This window comes from Homo sapiens, chromosome 11 (assembly GCF_000001405.40).
Source record: "Homo sapiens chromosome 11, GRCh38.p14 Primary Assembly".
NCBI classification, from domain to species: domain Eukaryota; kingdom Metazoa; phylum Chordata; class Mammalia; order Primates; family Hominidae; genus Homo; species Homo sapiens.
In genome coordinates, this window is record NC_000011.10 from 3,119,736 (window position 1) to 3,141,074 (window position 21,339).

A 21,339-nucleotide genomic window follows, 5' to 3' on the forward strand; every position below is an offset into this window, starting at 1 on the left:
ACCCCCAGGGCCACAGGGCCACCAGGTGGGGCCAGGCACCTGGCCAGGTAGACACTTGGCTGCAGAGAGGCGGGTAGGTGGGGGAGCTCTGTCCCCTTTCTTAGCTGGCAGCTCTGCCCTCAGCTTTCCAGCTCTGAGCCTCCTGACTTGGGCTGTCCAGAATCAGCAAAGGCACATCCAGGATGCCCAATGATGTTCGAATCCCAGAGAAACCATGAGTAGCTTTTTGGTGTAAGTATTTCCCATACATGACTGGGGTCATACTAGCATGAAAGAACTCTGATGTTTCTCTGAAATCCAAATGTAACCAGGTGTTCAGGGTTTCTCTGGTTTCCCACCCGTTAGAGCTGGCAGGGCAGCCCCGGGTTAGGAGGGGTGAGGGCTGGGCGCTGTTCCTCGGCCACCCCTGGGGAGCAGCCACTGTTGTCCCTCCTGGACAGCAGCTGGGTGAGGGGCTGGGGTGACCTTGATGCCACCTCCTTGCAGCCTACTGTGTGCTTCACATGGAGCACCAGTGGCCATATCTGATCCCCTGGCCGCATGTGGGGCTCAGAGAAGGTGAGACACCTGCTCAAGGCCCCAAGGGGGCCATTCAGCTGGTTGGCTCCACCCTCCACCAGGGCCCTAGGAATGAGCCCCTTGGCCCTACGGGGCCTCTGTCTTCAACCCCACCCCTCCGCAGCACCTTCACGGCCCAGACGGACTGATCCAGCGGGTGGAAGAGCTTGAAGCAGAAGCCGTCCTTCTTGGAGGGCCGCTCGATGAGCTCGCAGCAGTGCAGCAGCACCGTGCCCACCCACTGGCCCACCTTGGGCGTCTTGTAGATGAGCAGCACCCCCGGCTTCAGCACGCACCACAGCTTGGTCCAGCTCTTCAGGGTGCCGCGGATCTGCAGGGAGGATGCTGGCGTCGATGCCCACCCTCTGGGGCCGCCATCCCTGGGGCATCTTGATGGCTTGGCGGGGAGCCAGGCACAGACCAGGGTGGGCTGCCGAGGGGCCCTTCCCCTCCCTCACTCCCCCACACCAGTTCGGAACTCACCCCTTCCTCACCCTCACTCCCTGGGGTGATGTCCTGTGTCTATCGTGTACCCGAGCAGGGGCCAAGCCACGGCAAGCGGTGCCCCAGGACTCAGAGTGGAACTCAGGGCAGGGTCCTTGTTCAGTTTTTAAAAGGAGCCCATATGTTATGGTGAATGCAAAGAAATACGTGGCAGCAGGGACAGATTTACTTGTGAGGGTCACGTGGGTCAAGTTCAAGGTCAAGGGCCTCAGGGAGGAACCAGCAATGAGTGGTGTGACTTGTAACTGGCAGCTTTGTAGATTCTTTTTTTTTTTTTTTTTGAGACAGAGTCTCTGTTGCCCAGGCTGGAGGTGCAGTGGTGCTATCTTGGCTCGCTGCAAACTCTGCCTCCCAGGTTCAAGCGATTCTCCTGCCTCAGCCGCCCGAGTAGCTGGGATTACAGGCGCCCGCCACCATGCCTGGCTAATTTCTGTATTTTTAGTAGAGACGGGGTTTTGCCATTTTGGACAGGCTGGTCTCAAACTCCTGACCTCAGGTGATCCACCCGCCTTAGCCTCCCAAAGTGTTGGGATTACAGGTGTGAGCCACTGCACCCGGCCTGGCAGCTCTGTAAATTCTGAAAGTAGTTGTCTTCTTTTCTCATTCTAAATACTCACTTTTGCACCTAACTTTTGATTCATCATTTTGGTATGCGGGTAGAAGGAGCCTACATGGGCCTGGGCTCTGCAGACACCAGGGCTGGGCACACTTATCTGGTATGCGTTGCCCAGCAGCCTCGGAGTTGGGCAGTTTTACCTCCACTGTACACAAGGGGAAATGGAGGCTCAGAGGCGAGTGAATGGCCACGGTCTCCGTGAGGTCTGAACACAGGACACCCGGCCCTGATGTGGGGTCCTCTCCCAGAAGCCAGAGCAATGTCTCCCTCCCCAGCGCCCTCCGCCCACTGGCCAGGCCCCACCTTATTCGGAAATGGGGTCTTTGCAGACATAATCAGGTGAAGATGGGGCTACACTGGAGTAAGGTGGCCCTAATTCCTACCACTGGTGTCCTTATAAAAAGGGGGAGAGACAGGTGGATAAGGAAAGGCCTCATGAGGAAGGAGCAGAGGCTGCAGTGATAACGGCTAGATGCAGGGAAGTGAATTTCCATCGTTTCAGGCCACCTGGTTTATGGTCCTTTGTTATGGCAGCAGCACGCTGACCCGTGTCCTGGGTGGCCGGAGGCCGGGCATCACCTACCTTCAGGCTGTCAGCCATGATGACCACGCTGGGGTCTGTCAGAGCGCTGAGCAGCTGCCGTGTGGCGCGCTTCTTCTCCTGCCGGTAGTTCTCCTTCTGCGCCTGGGCCCGGGGCACCCGCGGTGGGTCATGGGAGAAGGCACCGAGCTGCCCCAGCTCCTCCCACCGTCCAGCCCAGGGATGGGTCCAGGGGCAGGGGCAGGAGAGGAAGTAGGAGGAAGTAGGGGGTGTGGAGGCGACCAGGTGCGGTTTGTCCCCTCCTTTTGACAGGTGGGGAGGGTGACCTCCCTGGCTCAGGTGGCCGTCGGTCTGACAGTGACACTGCTGCACCCTCCCCGGGCCCGGGCTCACCTTGAGAGTCTCCTTCTTGGTGACCCTGGCGGTGGGGGACACACATTCCTTGTCTGACCCGTTGCACAGCCTGTACTCTGCCTGAAAGAGAGAGGTGGGTATGCGGGACAGGGCACAGGGGCCGGCCCAGGGCTAGGAGCCCAGGTTGGCCTGATGCCAAGGATATGAGGGCAGAAGTCAGAGAAGGGCGCTCCACTCGTTTCCCGCCTGGCACCCTCCATCCCCCCCACCAGCACTTCCGGGGCTGCCATGGGGGGATGGAAGAACAAGGGTGGCTGACGAGAGACCCTCCATGGGCACACGCCAGTGACAGGAGGGGACCCATCCTCCCCGGGGCACATGCTGGGATGGGGCAGGGTGGTCAGGAAGGAGGGAAATGTGGGGACATCAGGGTTCAGGGCTGACTTCCTACGGGTCTGACTGAGCCCTGAGGGACAGCCGTCTTTGAGGGGACACCTGGGAGGCCGCTGAGGAAAGCAGTCAGGGTGCCAGAGGGTGGAGTTCGCAGAAGAGGAGCTCGGCGGCGGCCATGAGATGGTGGCAACAAGCACTCACGCTGGGTCTCTGGGGACCAGCCCTGCATCCACCCAAAAGAACAGCTTCCCTGCCTTGTCTTCCCCCTACGGTACCCAGCATGGCTGCTCCTTGGCCATTGCATGTGCCCAGCTCTGGGCAGGGCCAATGTACTGGTGGGGGGTGTGCAGTGGGGGTGCCCACCCCATCCCCTGGGAGCCGTGGGCAGAGGTCACTGTCCAGGTCCGAACCTGACCCCAGCATGTGGCTGACTGCACGGGCCCAGGGCGGCAGTCCCAATATCTTGGAGGCAGAAGGGGGCCACGGTTCTTCTACAGATGGGGAACCTGAGGCAGGGTAGGGGGCGAGTTGGGACACAGAACCAGGTCTAAAGCCTGCAGGCTGGGGACAGCAAGCTACGACCCGAATCCTGCCTGCTGCCTCCTTCCGCGTGGTCTGCAAGCTAAGAACAGCTTCCACAGTTTTAATCAGTTGAAAAAAAATCACAAGAATAATTTGTGAGATGTGAAAATTATATGAAATTCAAATGAGGAGTCCATAAATAAGGTTTTCTTGGCACATGGCCAGGCGATCCGGCAGGCGTTGTCTGTGGCTGTTCTCGTGCTTGGATGGCTGTGCTGAGTACCTGGAACGGAGCCTGCGCCGCGGCGGGGCCTAAATGCCGTCTGGCCTTTTCCAGAGAAAGCGTGCCCGCCCTGCCCTGCTCTGGCTGGGCGTCTGCGGGTGCTCAGCACTTTCCAGCGGAGCCTCTAGGGCGAGGAAAGCCTCCCTCAGGCCTTCTCCTGGCTAGAAGCCCTGGGCGCTGGGGACTGCCCCCACCCCAATCATGATGGTGCTAAGTACAGAGCTAAAGCCTTGTCTGCTGGGGCACCAGGTCCTGTTCGGGTGCTGCCTGTATTCATCCCCCTCATTCTCCAGCCATGCATAAGGTGGGGCCGGTTATTGTCCCTATTTTATTTCTGTGCCTGGGAAATCAAGGCACAGAGAGGTGGAGAGCTAGCAAGGGGCAGGGCATGGAACCGTTCCACGGACTGGCGGTCCTGGCAGCACTGGGCACCAGGCTTGGCCTTAGGCACTGAGGTTAGAAAGTAAAGATGCCAGTGTCCTGCTCTTTCAGGGAGAGGCAGACCAGCCACCAGCACGCAGAGGCGGGAGGAGCCAGGGGTCAGGTGAGCGCTGCGGTTCTGCGTTCTGTGCATGGATGTAAGCACGTTAGATCCCACAGCTCAGGTCATCGTTGTTATTCTCAGCATTGTACAGAGGAAGAGCCTACGCACAGAGAGGTTCAGAAACCTGCCCAAGGTCACACAGCTAATAAGGAGCTGAGCTGGGACTGAACCCAGGCAGTGTTGCTCCATTGTGGCACTTTCTTAGCCAAGTAAGAGCATTCAGGATCACAAGAAGAAAACGGCACAAGATGGGGTGCCTGGGGGGCTCTGACTTGGAAGCAGTCTTTGGGCTGACGATGAGTGATAAGGAGGAGGCAGATCTGAGTGACGAGGCATATGCTGGACCCTGGCCAGTTGACAGGCCTCCAGGGACCCAGGCTGGCAGAGAAGGTGTCCTAAGTTGCCCTCCTGGGAGTCCCCTGAGCCAGGATCTTGTTCATGATGCCCTTAGTTACCTTGGCACATGGTGTTCCCAGCCTGGAATGCTTTTCCCTGTGGCTGGGTAGCCCCTGCTCCTTTCTTTCTCAGGCTCCCTGAGCTGCTTCCCCAGAAGCAGGACAGCTCATATCCCTGCTGGCACAGGTCCTGGTGACACACACCACCCTTGGCCCGCCCAGGACTTTTGCAATACAACCACGCAGCCGTTTCTGTGGTGAACTGATGATTGTCTGTGGCTTCCACCAGGGGAGGGTTCTACCCTACTGCCCATTCACACCGGCAGCTGGGGGCTTAGCAAGCATCTCGAATGAATGAATGGATGAATGGATGGATGGATGGATGGATGGATGGACGCATGAACCTGCTGCCAATTCCCCTCTGCCCAGCTTCCCACTAGATGCAGCTGAATGGGGCTGTGTGTATTTGAGGCAACAGGGGAAGAGAGAGGCAAGACCGCATGGCATGGGATGGAGCACTTGCAACCCCTGCTCCCCAACTGGGCAGGACCCTTGGGTCTGGTCACTGCAGCCCCTGCAGCCCCAGCACTGCAGAGAGTGCCTGCCCACTCCTCCCTCCTGCAGGCCAGGTGGGTACCCCGTCCAGGCATGCCAGGTCCTCTGCTCACTCCTCAGTGCTACTGTGCATCAGTGACAGTGCCATAAGGAGGCACCTGAGAGATGAGAAGTGCTGCTCAGAACTGTGAACTTCAGGCTGACCAGAACTTTGCAACCTATGAAAATTCCTTAAAAATATAATTTAGAACCACCTACGGAATGGGAGGAAGTAGTCGCAAATCATGTATCGGATAAGGACCTAGTATCCAAAATGCATAAAGAACTCTTGCAGCTCAGCAACAAAAAGGCAAACAACCCATTCCAAAAATGGACAAATAACTGGAATAGACATTTCTCCAAACAGGACATACAAATGGCTAATGGGTGCACGAAGATGTTCAATGTTATCCGTCATTAGAGATGCAAACTGAAGCCGCAGTGAGATGCTACTTCATACCCGCTAGGATAGCTATAAAAATAACACAAAAAAGAACAAATCACGCCTGTAATCCCAGCACTTTGGGAGGCCGAGGCGGGTGGATCATGAGGTCAGGAGATCAAGGCCATCCTGGCTAACACGGTGAAACCCGTCTCTACTAAAAATACAAAAAAATTGGCCGGGCGTGGTGGCGGGCGCCTGTAGTCCCAGCTACTCGGGAGGCTGAGGCAGGGGCATGGTGTGAACCCGGGAGGCGGAGCTTGCAGTGAGCCGAGATCGCGCCACTGCACTCCAGCCTGGGTGACAGAGCGAGACTCCGTCTCAAAAAAAAAAAAAAAAAAATACAAAAAATTGGCCGGCCGTGGTGGCGGGCACCTGTAGTCCCAGCTCCTCGGGAGGCTGAGGCAGGAGAATGGCGTGAACTTGGGAGGCGGAGCTTGCAGTGAGCTGAGATTGTGCCACTGCACTCCAGCCTGGGTGACAGAGGGAGACTCCATTTCAAAGAAAAAGGAAAAAAGAAAACAACAAATCAGAAAATAGCAAGCGTTGGTGAGGATGTGAGGAACTGGAGCCCTTGTGCACTGTGGGTGGCCATGTAAGATGGTGCAGCCGCTGGGAAAGGAGTTTGGCAGTTCCTCCAAAAGTTAAACAGACAATTTTGAGAGTTCTATATTATCCTGGAATTACCATGTGACCTAGCAATTCCAATTACTCTAGGTTTATACCTGAGAGAACTGAAAACTGATAGTCAAATACACGTGCACACATGTTCACGGAAGCATTTTTCATGACAGCTATATGGTGAAAACAGCCCAAATATCCACCAGCAGCCCTCCCGGAGCAGCACAGTCTAGGATTGGGAGCTGTTTCCCCCGAACAGGCTGGAATGGCAGGCTCAGCTGGACGCCCTGCTGTCCTTTTCCCCAGCCGTTTCCTGCTGTCCCCAGAGCCAGGCTCTGGCTCATGGATCCTCCTATACCCAGGCTCTTACCGGTGGCACCTTCGTGGCAGAGCTTGGGGTCGGGGGCCCTTCATCCCTGGGCAGCGACGGGCCGTTGGGCTCCATGTCCTTCCCTGCAAGAGAGCAGTGGGAGTGAGGACCCAGGCATGGTGGCGTGGCCAGGCTTCTCAGGCCGCTGCCTGGTGTGAGGCAGGCGAAGCGTGGGTGCGGATGACCTGGGAGGGGCAGGAAGTCAGCCGGAGGTGGTGGCAGGAACAGGACACTGCCTGAGAGGTGTAATAAACGCCAGCAAGCGTCACTGTGGGAGGAGTGTGCCAGGAGAACTGGCAGGGCCTCCAGGACCTACAGGGAGGAAGCTGGGACAGGAGCTGGTAGGAACCGGCATCCTGGGCCTGCTGTAGTGTGCAATTGGGGGTCTGTGAAGGCCAGAGTCCCCAGTTTTCAGAAAAAGAATGTGACATCCAGTCTCAAAGACACATGGCAGGTTTGGGGCCCCTGGACTGTGCATCCCCCTGGCTGGATGCTGCCGGCCCCTGCGTGCTGGGCTCTTGCTGGGAGGTGGTCAGCCCTGTCTGCCATCCCACCCTGGCAGGCTGGGTAAGGAGGGAGAGGCAAAGGAGGGAGACCTGAGGTGTCTGCGTTTGCTCCTTTGGGAAATGGCCTCCCCTCCCCCGGCTCTGTTTGCTTTGGTGCCAGTTTCCCAAGGTACGATTTCTGGACAGGAGGAAGGAGGGGATGGCTGCAGGGGAAGCCTGAGGTCTGCCCAGCAGGGCCGCTCCCGCTGCTTCCTGTGGCTGGTGGGCGAGGGTTGACTGCCCCGGTCCCTGACACTGAGACTCGGAGGGGCTGGGGGCTGGAGTGAACCCCATCCTGCCAAGGCCACAGGCGACAGGCCAGCAACAGGCTGGGTGCGTGGACAGACGCCACAGACCAGCTGGAAGGCCTGGGGTCTATAGCCGTCCTTCCCTGACAGCCCTGGGCAGGGACTGGATGGGGACGAAGAACGGAAAAGCCAGGACGGTGGCCTGAGGAAGTGGTTCTGTCCAAAGGTCCTGGACCGTGGCCACTCACAGTCACAGAACATCGCTGACCCTGGCCGGCAGTGGCTGCTCCCCCACCTGGGAGCCTCTGCTTCCCCATCTGCAGAGTGCTACGCCCCTGACCCGGAGTGCTGGGGGGAGGCTAGCAGGAGCGCTCTTCCCTCTGGCACTTTCTCATATAGTTCTAGGGGCTTGGCCTGTGGCCGCCAGCAAACTACTTTCCATGTGGATGCTGCCTCCTGGCCGGGAGGACTCAAAGGCTGGGGCCCTTGGACCACTCAAAGGGATAGGGTGCAGGTGCCCTGGGCAGGGGGAAGTCAGCACTGGTCCTTCTCCTCACAGCCTGTCCACACCCACCCCACTCCCTTGGCCTGGGACCTACCGCCTCCATTCCTCGGAAAAGGCCCTTCCCAGCACGTCTTCTGCACCGCCTGGGCCAGTTGCTAGTTGGTCCGAGTCCCTCTGAAACTGACCAGCAGCTGGGACCCAGCCCTTCCCCTCCCCACCCCTGACTCTGCAAGTGCTTCTAAGCCTCCGGCCAGGGTGAACGTGACAGCAGAGAATAAAAGGTGTAGGATTTACCTTGCCGGGTGTCGAGTGCCCCTGCCTGCCATAGCACCTTCAGCAAGGCCACCTCTACGCTGGGACTCCGTTTTTCCATCTATTGGATGGGACTTTGGCTGCGACCACACGCCCCTCGAGCCTGGGTGGTGGATCCGCCCAATGCTCTCCCACTCCCCCCAGGGCAGATGAGATGACCATGGCCAGGCAGGGCTGGGGCTCCCACTTCCTCAGCCCCAAAGCAGGCAGTGGGAGGAGAGGGGGCAGAGCTGGGGAGAGGTCCCCCAGGCAGGTGCCTGCCCCTACCTCCTACTCTCAGGGGAACAGGGGAGGAAGGGCTGGGTTTTCTGGGGGACAGCAGTCACAGCTCAGCCTTGGCTGGGGCAGGGGTTGTGCATAGTTAGGTGCCAGGGAGGGGCCTGGAGAGTGGCAGCATTGGCGGGCAGAGGTTCTGAGTCTGTGTGCTGGGTGCTTTATCTACAATTGCACGAAGGCAGGCCTGGTTCCAGCTGTCCCCTCTCAGAGCCCAGGACCCATGTATAGCTGGGAGTAGGTACTAATATTGTCCCATTTTATAGATCAGTCAACTGAGGCCTAGAGAGGTCAAGTAGCTGGCCTGGGGTTACCCTGCCAGGACTGGGGCTCAGGCCACCTGTCCCTGGAGCCTGCACTCCATAACTCCCAAAGCCTGGGCTGACTTTGGGATGACTGCACTCCATAACTCCCAAAGCCTGGGCTGTGGGAACCCCCTCCTCAACCAGATGGGCTTCACCTGGCCCCGCAGGTCAAGCCAAGAAGCCGTATTACCTGGCACTCTACCAAGCTACAAACCGTTTGATCATGAAACCCACACAGTCCCCAGCATGGAAGCTGTGGACCTCAAGGGGCACAGAGGGGTTGGGCCGCCCGGGGTCACCCCACCGGGCCCAAGCTGAGGGCCAGGTTGCCCTGCCCACGGCCGGCACTTACCTGGGCTGAGTGGGTAGAGCTCATTGTCTCCGCTGAGGAGCAAGTTCCGGGTGAGCTTCCGGGGGTCGACTTTCTGAGGGGTGGAGGAAGGTGGACACAGGGAGAAGCGGCGCCGGAGGAAGGCCTCCTCCTTCATGCTGTGGGCGCTCGGGGGCTTCTGGAAGGAAGGAAGGAGGGGCAGCAGGAGGTCACCGCCCCGGAAGGGGCTTCAGAGCCACATGGTGGGGGTGCCCCTGGCTAAGAAGTCCCCCTCTCAGGGGACTTCTGAGGCAGGGTGAGGAGGGCCTGGGCCCTGGGAGCCTGGTGGTGGGTGGTCAGCCAGGACAGCCCAGCTCAGGCGAATGGCTTTGGCTGGTGCCAGCCCTTTCCACGCCGGGCAGTAGGGCTGGACGGAGCCCTGGTCAGAGAGGCTCATCACCACCCTCGGAAGATGTCCTTCTCAGAACCCCCACCCCAGGTTCTGTGAGACCCTGGCTGCAGCCAGGCAGACCCACGTGTAGACACAGGTTTTCCCTCCCGCATTTCCCTCCCACGTGACAGCACTTTGTGGTGGGGAGGGGTCTAGAGCTTCCATGGAGAAGATGCACGGGGGTGAGACCAGGTGGCCGCTGAGCACCAGGGAGTGGCTGGCACGGTGTTGGGCAGTCCGGGAGCCTGGCCTGCCATCCATCTAAGGGTCCCAGGAGCGCCTCGCCTCTGGTTAAGCCCGCCTGAAGCTTGGGTGCCCCAACAGTTTCAGTTGCACCCACATGCACCCCAGCAAGAGAGGGAGCTCTGGGCGCTCACAGCCAGGCACACCTGCGTCCACGCCCAGCCCAAGACGTTGCATTCCCAGTGGGAGCTTCCTTGCTGCTTCACAAAAGAGGGAGGCCCCACAGCCAGGCCCTGACACCCACCTGCCTCGCTCTCCCAGCCCCGCCCACTGGCAGACCTGCCTTTCCCCTGTGGGTTCAGAAGCGAGTTTCTTGTTTCCTCCCCTGGAAGGAGAGAGGACAACAGGCGGTCCCCTCTGTCCTGCTCCCCACCAGCCCTACACCTAGTAGTGCTGGGCCAAGCAGAGGGTAACTGATTGCAGTCACGCCTTTGCAGGCACTTGAAGTTGACGGCGCCAGATCCACTGAGGTCTCAGCCCATTTTACAGATGAGAAAATCATGGCTCAGGGAGTGGAAGGCCTCGACCTGTAATCGTGACCTGACAAGGGTTGGCAGAGCATCCCCTCCAGCTTCTCATCTTGTGTCCACTTCCCAAGGGCGAGCTCCTTAAAAACTACTGGTCAATTTTCCTCCTTTCCCAATTTTCTGGGGCTGCTTCCTGCTGCCTCAGGGCAGGCCAGTGGCATCCTGCCAAGCCCGGGACAAAGGCCTCGATTTCTCCCATGGTCCTGGGCTTTGCTGGGGGGGGCCTCAGACACACAGAGACTTTCCTGCTGTGGCTTCAGGAGTGGGCTGGGGGCCCAGGGTGTCTGTGGTCCTGGGGGCTTCTGTCCACCACCCCAGAGCCCCCTCTGTGCCCCCAGTCCTGAAGTCAGAGTGGGGAGGGGCTCCAAGGATGCAGCCAGGCTGGGCCAGCCCCTCCCTCACCTGGCCCCTGGCTCGGCTCATGACCTTGGCCATCTTACACACAGGGCAGCTGGCTTCAGAGAGGCTGGCGTTTTGGCCCAGGTCACAGAGCTAACAATCAGCAATGCCGTCCTTAAGCCAGGTGGAACCGATCCTAAAACCCAGCCGCTGAGTGTCTGCCCACTCAGTGTCTCAGCTTGGCTCAGCCAACCTGCCGCAGGGAAGCAGGCAGATGGGAAGTCCTGCCCCTACTTGTCAATCACAACAAACACGTCCTACTTGCCCAGGTGCAGCTCAGGATGGGAACCAGCAGCTGAGCGGAGGCCGGGCTTACTCAGACAGCTGAGATTTTCTGAGCACCCAGGCTGGGCTGGGCACCAGGCAGCCAAGGTAAGTGAGCAGCGATCCTGCTCTCAGGACCCACAGAGAGCCCCGGAATGTCCCAGGCAGTGTGGTGACAGCGATTCCCAGGTAGGTCTCCCTCACTTGGAACCTCCTGGGGCAGGGAGAGGGGCTCAAAACCTAGCCTCAGCTGCCCTGTCTGGCTGTCTGCTCCAGTTCCACCTGGGCCAAGGTAGAAAGGCCATAGGGGATCTTGGTACCTTTCTGCTCAGATACCCCACATACCTTCTCCCAGCACCAATGACAGCCAGTGGGACTTCTTAGTCTGTGAGTGCCACCATCCACTCATCTATACACCAGTCTCATCTATACACCAGTCTCCCGCTCCCTTGTATCCCTCCATCTATACATACATACATCTCCCTTCCAGGCATCCATCCATCCATCCATCCACCCACCCACCCATTCATCCATCCATCCATCCATCCATCTACTGTCATCCCATCTATCCATCAATCCATCCATCCATCCATCTACCCATTCATCCATCCACCCATTCGTCCATCCATCCATCCATCTACCATCCTCCCATCTATCCATCCATCCACCCATTCATCCATCCATCCATCCATCCACCCACCCATTCATTCATCCATCCATCCATCCATCCACCCATTCATCCATCCATCCACCCATTCATCCATCTGTCTATTCATCCACCCGTCTATTCATCCATCCATCTACTGTCCTCCCATCCATCCATCCACCCACCCACCCATTCATCTATCCATCCATCCATCCATCCATCCATCCATCCATCCTCCCAGGCATCCATCCATCCATCCACCATCTTCCCATCCATCCATCCATCCATCCACCTACCCATTCATTCATCCATCCATCCATCCATCTACCCACTCATCTATCCATCCACCCACCAAACCATCCATCCATCCATCCATCCACCCATCCACCCACCCTCCCTCCCTTTCAGGCATCCATCCATCCTCCTGTCCATCCATCCATCCATCCATCCATCCATCCATCCATCCATCCATCCACCCACCCATCCACCCACCCTCCCTCCCTTTCAGGCATCCATCCATCCATCCATCCATCCATCCATCCATCCATCCATTCACCCACCTGCCACCCCTCTATCCCTCCTTGAAGCTCTCCAGCCAGTCAGCTGACCTGCCTGATTCCACCTTCCTTCCCATTCACCTCACACTCAGACACATCTGAGGTGGTATTCAAATAATGTCTGAAACACTGATATGGAACAGACACTCACCAATCCAAATGCAATACAGGTGTGTACCAGGGACTATCACTCTGTGTGCCAACAACCCCAGACCAGTGTCCAGTGCCCCGGGCCCTGCAGACCACCTCTGACCCGCTCAGACAGGGTGGGCGGCAGCTCTCATCACAAGGCATCCTGGTCTGTGGAGCCCTTCTGGAGCCCCCCATCCCTTGGACTTCCTGATGCCCTACAGCTGAGAGGTGCCTGCTGAGTGCCCCCAAATGGTCACCTGGTGGGGAGGTGTTTTGTTCATTTTAAAGGCCACATCTCCCCAGTGGCTCCATATGGCATTTAGAACAAATCCAGTCTCATCCCGTCCCTGTTCCCCAAGCCCTCCCGCCACCCCATTCCCCAGCCCACTCTGTCGCCCACTCTGCTCCAGCCACACTGGCCCCTTTATGTTCCCATTCCTGCTGAATGTGCCCGCCCACCATCTCCACATGGCCCGGTCCTCCTCAAATTCCACTGTCAGCTTCAATGTCACTTCCCGGAGGCTTGGCCACTCTGGGAGTCGATTCAGATTCTCCACGTAGCACTGGGAGTCCTTGGAGGGCTCCACATTGCACTTCTTTGTTCTTCGCACACACTTCTCCCACCAGATGCAGCGCAGGTGAGGGGTGGTGGGGTCTGATCATGGCTCTGTCCCAGCAGCCAAGGCAGGGACACGCGGTAGGTGCTTCCCATGTGTTTGGATTCACACAGGCTGCCTGTCGTGTCGCACGGCTCCAGGGTGGAGACCCTCGGTGGTTGTGCAGCAGGCACTCCCCATTGGAGGTGCCTGGGGTGCCTGCCTGCCTCCCCACTGTTCCTGAGGTCTCCAGGACAGGGCAGGGTCCTCAGAGAGGTGAGCAGGGTTAGTTTTAGGGCTGATTTCCACTGGAACCCTAGTGAGGTTCCCATCCCCCGGCCATCTGCCACTCCAGGCGTTGCCTAAGGAATAATGGAAAGTTGGCATCTGCAGGGTGTGAGCTGCTGAGGAATGAGGCCCTCTTGGTGCTGGTAGGACTTTCATCCACTGCAGTGAAAGCTGAAGGCTGGGAGCCCCAGGGAGCACAGCCCCTGATGGGAACCCCCCATGAGGGGAGGGAGAGAAGGAAAGAAGGATGGGTCGACAAGGAAACAGACACGCTGGCTGAGGCAGCAGCGACCTGGGATCCCACTCAAACTGGGAAATGCAAAAGGCCTGTTATCGCCACTGCCCTGCACTGCCTGCGGGGAAGCCCCGGGCCACGCTCCGGCCACCAAGGACTTCAGGTGGACCCTTTAGGCCCAGCCCTCAGGATTCTGCCTGCCTGAGGCCACCCAAGGTTGATGTGGCGGTCGCTCTCAGCGGCCTCCATGCCCTGGGGGGCTGGCCTGTCCCTGACACCAGCAGCACCTTCACCCCAGAGCCCCCAATGACTCTCTGCTCATCTGTACACAGCTGGGCCTCAGCCTGCAGTTGCCAAACCCTTTTCCGCCACTGTGCATGGTGCTGCGTCCATCTCCAGCTGTGATCTCATCCTGCCCCCACAGTCCTGAAGTCCAAGTGCAGGAGGGGACGCTGTGGGGCTTGGGAGGAAGGAGCCCCAGAGTGCCCCTCCCACGGTGAGACTGTCCCTGGGGCCAAAGAGGAAGTGTGGGCAATTCCAGTCTGAAAGGTCACGTTTCTGCCTGGTGGGGCCCCAGCCCCGAGACCCCAAGGTCCCCTAAGGAGGCTCATTCTGGAGGCCAGGCCAGGAGGCCAGGGAAGAGGGAGTGGCTGGGGAAGAAGGCGGGGCTTGGTGGGGGGGGGGTCACTAGATGTATGTGGTCCCCAGTGCCCAGCTCTGCCCAAGCCTCGGAGGAGGGAAGGGTGCAGGCCTGGAGCTCAGAAACAGGCAGGCGACAGGTGGGCCCGGAAGCCACCACCTGACCCCAAGTCCAAGTCAGCCACAACCCTCTTCTGCAGCTTCCATTCCTGGGGGGCCTAAGGAAATGTCCTCTTCCAATGTCACATCAGATGCTGGGTCGCCTCGTGGGCCTCCTGCTGTCACCAGACAGGACAGGAAGGGCCTCCTGCTCTCCTCCAGGGGCCCTGTGTTTGCCACTGTAGCCATCCGCTGGCCACCCAGCAGGCACGACTTCCATTGTTGGGGGTTGCCTGTGTCCCCAGGAACCAATTCTCCAAGTGCCCCTTGCCTGGGGGAGCGCCAGGTTTTGTTCAGCTGTTGGGCAGACCTAGTGACTAGGGTGGGGGCCACTCTTCCTAGTCCAGAGTGAGCCAGGCCCACTCCCCAGCCTGTGAAGGCTCAAGGTGAGCAGGGCTGGCCCCCCAGCCCCTCCTCCTGCTGCTGGTCCCTAGCCCATCCCAGGTGGGTGCCCTGCCCAGCCGCTCTTCTCAGTCATGACTTTGTGCCTCTTTGGGCCTTTTGGAAAGGAGGGAGGGAGGCACCAAAAGGGAACACTTTGGACTTGGGTTGGGGTGGAGACCCGCTGTCCACCGAAAGAATGTGCTCTGAGCAGAGCCTCCTCTGCCATGTGGCGGGATGGGCCGGGGAGCCCACAGGGGCTGGGCTTCAGCTGCGTGAGTGGGTCTCCTCAGAGGTCTGCTGGGACTTGGGGGTGGGGTGGGGGTGATCCTGTGACCCAGAGAGGGGCTGAGGGTGGGGGAGGGGCAAGTGTGGGTGCCGGGTGCAGGCCCGTGGGCAGGGCCAACCACCAGCCTGGGAGAGCTGACAATCCCACTTGTGGTCCCACTAGGCTGGAGAGGGGACGCGGGAGAAGCTCGGCCCATGGAAGGCCCCCCTTTCTCTGCACCCCAGCCCCCGAGCTGGGCCTTTGCTTCTGCCTGGCCCTCTGCAGGGGGCTCCTCCTTCTTCCTCGGAGACCCAGCCCCTTTGTCCAAGAACGTTTCCCCAGCTGTCAGTCCTCAGGAGCAGCTGACCGCCCCCGTGCGTCTCTTTGGACCTGAAGTGCGCCCTGGCGGTGCTTCGCTTTGGCCTGGGTGGGTTCCCCTGAACTGAGCTGTGCTGGGCTGGGCAGGGCCGTGCTTCCGCCAAGGGGACACTGGCCCAGCTGACTTCCTTGACTACTCAAGCACCTCTGGACCCAGTTGGGCGGGGCACACACAGGGGCCAACTCTGCATCTCTAGAATGAATTCGCTCATGGCTGGAAGGGGGCTTGAGAGACGCTGGAGCTGCTAAGGGCCGGGGAACGTTCTGGAGGGCCAGAGAGTAAGGGGGACAGAGAGCCAGAACCGTGGCAGCCAGGCAGAGGCCACTCCTGAGGCCCTCCTCTGGGCAAGGAGGTGGATGCCCAGGCAGGCAGGGATGGGTGCCCCTTCCAGGTCCTCTCCTGAGACCCCAGCACCCTCCTCCAGGCTAGCCCCAGACTCCCACCCCTGCCTGTGCCCAAAGCTGCAGAATGCCCAGGCCAGATGGACATGTGGGGCTCTCGGGGACTGCAGGTGGCCGTGATGGTGTCGTGCAGCTGCTGCACTCCTGAGACCACAGCTAAGACACCGCCCCGTGGTGGCAGCGCCTGGGGGCCGCCTTGCCTGCGGCAGGGTCCCACCCACACCCAGAGCCACTGCTTGACCCCCCTTCCTGTTAACCACAGGCACCTCCTGGTCCCCTCCTCATGGCTCCCACTTCCTCCTGCCCTGCTGAGTTTCCTGGGCCACCTAGGAGTTGCGGAGGGGACAGAGGCGAGGGCACAGGAAGGGAGTGAGCTCTGACTCTGGGCTGACCACCCCTCCCCAACCCCCACTGCATAGGCTGGAGCAGGCTCTTCCTTCCATTTCTCATGTGGGGCATGAAAGACCCCTTCCACCACTGGGAGACAAGAGGTCCCATGTGGTGCCAGCCCAGAGCAGATGGGGAGGGACAGGTCAGGTTCTGCCTCTGCCTGGCCAGCCCTGTGTCCCTGAGGATGCTTGCCTCTGGACACCTGGGGAGGGGCCATGCTCTCTGACCCCACGCCAAGGCCAGCTGTTTGGCAGCATGGGGCCCAGGCCCAATGGGGGCCCCACCCAGAGCCAGTGCACATGGCCCCCCTGCCTCCGCCAGCTGCCTTCCCAGCAGTAATCCAGCCTCCAAAGTGCTCCTTACCCCCTGCCTCCCAGACGCTCGCCTTCAGGCTAGGATAAAGGGATTCTTGTAAAGAAAGGTCACTGGCGCCTCCTCAGGCCACATAGAGCCATCAGCTGGGGCCACACTTAGCTGAACCTTGGCCAGGGGCAGACACTGCCTCAGCTCTGGGAAAGGCTGAAGCTCTGAGAAGGAATCCAGCTGAGTCCTGGACTCATTCCGCATCCTTCCTGTGCCCAATTCCTCCTCTGTCCTCCTGCAGAGGCCTGGGGACCGCAGAGCTGGGGAAAAGGGCCCAGCCATGACTCCAGTGGTTGTGTGGCCTCAGCTGGCCACCTTCATCTCTCAGGCCCTGTTTGTAAATCAGGACTTGCTCTGAGTCAGGGAGATGATGTCCCAGGCCCACAGGAGGCCCTGGGGAAGGCGCCTGCAGAGGTGAGTGTGAGCCCAGACCCAGCCCCCTCCACGCCTATGTGGCTTCCTCACCCACAGCCCAGAGTGACAGGGCTGGGCCGCGCTGCATGGGGGCAGAGAGGAGGCTCTGGCCACTGGGGTGCTCCATCAATTGGCAGGGGCCAGAAAAGCAGGAACTCCGCAGCCAGCCTTCAGCAGTAACATCCGGCACAGATGCTTCTGCCTAAACCAGATAGATTCTCGTTCAAGACTGTGGAGGGGAAATGCTCTAAAATCACAAGGATAAAGGAACATAAGCCCAAATGCTTGGCTCTTCGCACATGGGATGGAGAGGTCAGTGGGTCCCAAGGAAGGACAGCAGCCATCAGTTAAAGGACAGCAGCCATCATGTCAACACCATACGTTTGCATTCCAGAAACTTGCTAAGGTCAATGCAAGTGACCATGAAGATCCTGCTGTGAGGAAACCACGCAGGCCTCCTGAGTCACCCCAGGGAGACCACCACAGCAACAGATGCACTCCCTGAGAGCAGACAGCAGCATAAGAGACCAGGCTGCTGTGTCTGGGTGGACCGAATGCCTAGTGCTAATGTGGGCAGCCTGACCACCCCTGCAGGAGCAGCAGCCTCTTCAGAGAGCCGTGGCATGCACTTCAGCTGTGGCAGCTGGGCCCTGGGGGGCTTGGGACATGCGCTTTCCCAGGACATCTGCTGCACTGATGGACCTTAAAGCCCCCAGGTCCTCCTGGATGTTCTGTCCCATCTGATATGATTCTCGGAATGCTCGCAAGGTGCGGGGAGCAGGGGAGCAGGGGTCATCATCACATTTTAAAGATGCAGTGGGCCGGGTGTACTGCACCTGGGATTACAAGCCTGTAATCCCAACACTTTGGGAGCCTGAGGCGGGTGGATCGCTTGAGCCTAGGAGATCGAGATCAGCCTGGGCAACATAGCGAGACCCTGTCTCTACAAACATAAAAACAGCCGGTTGTGGTGGCACATGCCTGTGGTCCCAGTTACTCAGGAGGCTGAGGTGGGAGGATTGCTTGAGCCTGGGAGGTCGAGGCTGCTATGAGCCATGGTCATGCCACTGCACTCAGCCTGGGTGACAAAGTGACACCCTCATCACACACAAACACACTGGGACCCCAAGAGGGGAAACGGCCCATCTAAGGTCTCGTGGGCCAGGCTGCGCCTGGGATCCCCTCAAAGGAGCACAGCTGAAGCCCCAAATCCCCTTTGCACTTTGGAGATAGCTGTGGAGCTGAGGGGGAGGCCAGGCCTCCCTCTGGGGAGACATTTATCAGAGGCAGCTGTGGAGTGGTTGAACCTCAAGAGGGGCACAGGAAGTGGCCTGCACTGCTGAGGACGCAGCATCGAGCCATGCCTGCGTGTTCTCCGGGCTGCCTCAGCCAAGTCCTGTGCCTGTGGGCCCGGCCAGGCCAGCCCGTCCCCGGCCCTGTCCACCTGTCCTCCTGATGGACACCAGGCCCACTGAAGGCTCAGAGCAGCTACTGGGTCAGCTGGCCTTGGTACCCCGACCCCACACCCCTGTAGTCGATCACTCCACCAGCCCTAAGAAGCCCTGGCATGGGGGCGGGCTGGGCGTGGTCCCTGAGGCAGGCCTGGCCCCACCACCTCCCAGCTAGACCCACCACCTCCCAGCTAGACCCACCCCACCTGTCCCAACTGAAAGGAGACTCCGATTTTCAGATGCTAGCTGCAGCCAGGTGGCAGCAGGGGTCAGCCGGGGAGGGAGGGGTAAGGGAGTGGGGGCCGTCACTTGGAGGCAGTGCAGCTGGAGGCAGGGGCCTGCTGGGATTGTGGACGCAATCTCAAACCCGCCACGCTGAGCCTCAGCATTCACACTGGAAATAAGACATGAACCTGGGCCCCCAGTGGAGCCTGGACACTCACTTCCAGAAAAGACGCTCGCCTGCCGTGCTGTGGGGCTGGCCTCTGTCCTGAATGCCCTCAGGCACACCTGGGGCCTCTTCTGGGTGGTGCCAGTGCCCCCTTGCCTGGCCCTCCTGGTGAGGCTCCTGGGCTTGGTGTGCCACCCCCAGTGGACGGCCCTGCAGGCCGCTGCCTACCCAGGTGGGGGACCAAGGGAGAAGCAGCTGGGCTGTGGCCGCCTAGGGACACGCGGCTGAGAAGCTGAGCACGTGGCTGTGTCTCCTCATCTGGCCCCAGCCTGCTCATCCTCCTAATTCCAGGGCAGCCTGGAGCCAGGCGTGTGGGCAAAAACTCCAACAAGAAGACCAGAGCAAAACAAAGAGGACGCGGCTGCTGTGGGCCAAGACTGAGGTCCGTCTCCGCCCTCCAGGGGCACCTGAGCTCCAAGGGCAGGGACCGGGTGATGGGTCTTCGCTGACACCGAGTGGGGATCCTGGGGTGCGAGCAGGCCCACACTCTCCCCCAAAACCCTCCAGCCTCAGTCTCCCCCACTGCCCACCCACACACCACCACAGCTGTTCCCGTTCAGGGGACCCTGGGGTGACCATGAGGCAGTGGGCCTGAGAGCCAGGGAGGTGGAAGCTTCCAGCCCTGGAGGAGCAGGTGGCCACCGGCCAGCTGAGTGAGCGGAGACCAGGAGGCTGTGCGGGACGGGTGGCCCCGGGGCTGGGGCCGTGGCCAAGCCTGCTGGGGTCTGCCAGGGGCATCAGCTCTGAAGGTGCTGGCTGTGCTGTTGCCAGTGCTCTGTGGGGCCACGAGCAACCTGCCAGGATGATGGGGGAAGGAAGAGCCACCAGGCTGGGGCAGAGGTGGAGACAGACCCCAGTGATGGAGTTGAGCCCATTCTGGGAAAGGCAGGGAGGAGTGGCCTCCAGTGAGCTGGGGAAAGCCAGTGAGCAGGGGGCTTTAATCACCAGCCCAGGCACCCAGCCCTGCCCGCAGGAGTTTGGGGGCAGGATGGGGGTGGCAGGCCTTCCCCTGGCCTCTGGACAAGCCCCCGCCCCAGGGAGGCCTTGCTGCCTTGCTCTATGGGGAGGAGTCACTTCCAGAGGGCACATCCAGCCTCCCCTCCTCTCTCTCTGTCTCTCGGCTTCCCTCTCTGGGCTCCTGGACCCTGGGTCCAAGTGCTGCTTCCCCCGGCCTCTCTTCCTTCAGGCAGCCAGCCTTCCCTGCTGGAGTCCCCGAGGCCCAGCCACGCGCCCTGAAGGAGCACAAGCTCCTAGGGTGCGTTTACTCGCAGAGGCTGAAGCTGGTGGTGGGGTGGGGCGCTCACAGCCTGGCCTGTGGTTGGCCAAGGACACCAACAGGAGCTCTTCCCTGCAGCTCCTGGCAGGCCTGCAGAGGTGCCCCCCCTGCTCTGAGAAGCCAGCCTCACAAGATCATTCATCGCAAGCTCTGGGCCCACTGCTCGGCTGTGCAGCCTGGGAGGGGGGTGTGCAGTGGTCCGCCAAGCAGCACCTCTGCCAAGGAGCTCCCTCTGCAGAGGAGAACCCGGCCAAGGTCCCCCAAATTGCAGCCACCATCTCGGGCTGTATTAACAGAGGTTGAGTCCTCAGAAGGAGGGAGGGGATAATTGCAGTGGTGTCTCCCTGGCCAGGCTGCTGAGTTCAGCTCTGGAAGGGGCAGCCCACAGCAATGCTCTCTGTGAAGGGCCAGCATGGTGCCACCCAGGAGTGACACACACAGCCAAGCTCTCCCCTGTATCCCTCAGGTGCTGGACAGGCAGGGTAGGGCTCACAGCCAAGCTAGGACACCCTTCCCAGGGCCAAGGCAGCCCAGGAAAAGCCAGCACAGCGTGTCCTCCTGAGAGGCCTGTGTGGACACTCAGGGGTCCCAGTCTGAGGGGGAACACAAGGCCTTGACCTGGTAGCCCACTTTCAACACTCCGTGAGCACGCAGGGCCTCCCCCAGCAGAGAGGGGCACCGAGGGAAGCCAGGACCCCAGGCAGTGCCCTCTGTCCACCCAAGTACATGCTGCCCCACCAGTGGACAGGCATCGTCGTCCCGGCTCCCCTCTGTCCCCCAGCTCACATTACCCAGGACTGGCTGTAGGAGCCTTGTTTCCAAGACCAGAGAGGTCATAAGGTCACCTGCTGCCCACACGTCCCATCCTAGTCCTCCTTGGGGTATGTGGGTACCTGGGGCGGCCCCTCATGTCCAGGAGCTGAGGCTGCCCCTGGGTGTATCAAGGTGAGGTGCCTACCCCACCCCTACCCGCCCATGCAGAGCTGCAGCTGGTGCTCTGGTCAGCCCATGGGTGTGACAGCCCAGGGGGCCCTGGGGCCAGGTGACCACCTCAGAGCCACTCCTTCCCCGATGCCATCTGTCAAGGGTCAGGGGTCACACACTGCAGAGAAGAAGACACAAAGCCTGGCAGGTAGGACCCTGGGGGCACCAACTTGGGTGGGGGTCAGCCCAATGCCTTGTACGAAGAGGCCC

The 21,339-nt window shown here is 60.1% G+C and overlaps 1 protein-coding gene across 5 annotated transcripts in view, besides 5 other annotated features; it reads right to left on the bottom strand.

The window, feature by feature from the left end:
* OSBPL5 (oxysterol binding protein like 5) overlaps window positions 1-21,339 on the bottom strand; it is a 78,204-nt gene that overhangs the window by 32,629 nt on the left and 24,236 nt on the right. For 3 of the 5 annotated variants that reach the window (NM_020896.4, XM_017017163.3, XM_011519873.4), the window contains exons 2-6: window positions 9,278-9,434; window positions 6,738-6,820; window positions 2,613-2,693; window positions 2,262-2,363; window positions 686-889 (exon numbers count right to left, since the gene is read on the bottom strand). In NM_020896.4, coding sequence (NP_065947.1) covers window positions 686-889; window positions 2,262-2,363; window positions 2,613-2,693; window positions 6,738-6,820; window positions 9,278-9,413 — 606 coding nt within the window. In that variant the 5' untranslated portion in view covers window positions 9,414-9,434. The remainder of the gene's footprint in view (window positions 1-685; window positions 890-2,261; window positions 2,364-2,612; window positions 2,694-6,737; window positions 6,821-9,277; window positions 9,435-21,339) is intronic. The other 2 variants (NM_145638.3, NM_001144063.2) reach the window with 1 other exon arrangement.
* Window positions 59-228: an enhancer, noted in NCBI's record as "experimental_21160 CRE fragment used in MPRA reporter constructs". NCBI's record gives its function as "activates a minimal promoter by MPRAs in K562 erythroleukemia cells, with activity observed for both the introgressed and non-introgressed 11:3141109 variant alleles {active_cell/tissue: K562}" and the evidence as "EXISTENCE:reporter gene assay evidence [ECO:0000049][PMID:34662402]".
* Window positions 4,704-4,998: a silencer, noted in NCBI's record as "tiled region #6583; HepG2 Repressive non-DNase unmatched - State 20:ReprD, and K562 Repressive non-DNase unmatched - State 23:Low". NCBI's record gives its function as "represses a minimal TATA promoter and a strong SV40 promoter by Sharpr-MPRA in HepG2 and K562 cells {active_cell/tissue: HepG2 | K562}" and the evidence as "EXISTENCE:reporter gene assay evidence [ECO:0000049][PMID:27701403]".
* Window positions 15,372-15,979: an enhancer, noted in NCBI's record as "H3K27ac-H3K4me1 hESC enhancer chr11:3156337-3156944 (GRCh37/hg19 assembly coordinates)". NCBI's record gives its function as "activates a minimal SCP1, AML or CMV promoter by ChIP-STARR-seq in naive H9 embryonic stem cells {active_cell/tissue: H9 hESC(naive)}" and the evidence as "EXISTENCE:reporter gene assay evidence [ECO:0000049][PMID:30033119]".
* Window positions 15,980-16,588: an enhancer, noted in NCBI's record as "H3K27ac-H3K4me1 hESC enhancer chr11:3156945-3157553 (GRCh37/hg19 assembly coordinates)". NCBI's record gives its function as "activates a minimal SCP1, AML or CMV promoter by ChIP-STARR-seq in naive H9 embryonic stem cells {active_cell/tissue: H9 hESC(naive)}" and the evidence as "EXISTENCE:reporter gene assay evidence [ECO:0000049][PMID:30033119]".
* Window positions 16,589-17,196: an enhancer, noted in NCBI's record as "H3K4me1 hESC enhancer chr11:3157554-3158161 (GRCh37/hg19 assembly coordinates)". NCBI's record gives its function as "activates a minimal SCP1, AML or CMV promoter by ChIP-STARR-seq in primed H9 embryonic stem cells {active_cell/tissue: H9 hESC(primed)}" and the evidence as "EXISTENCE:reporter gene assay evidence [ECO:0000049][PMID:30033119]".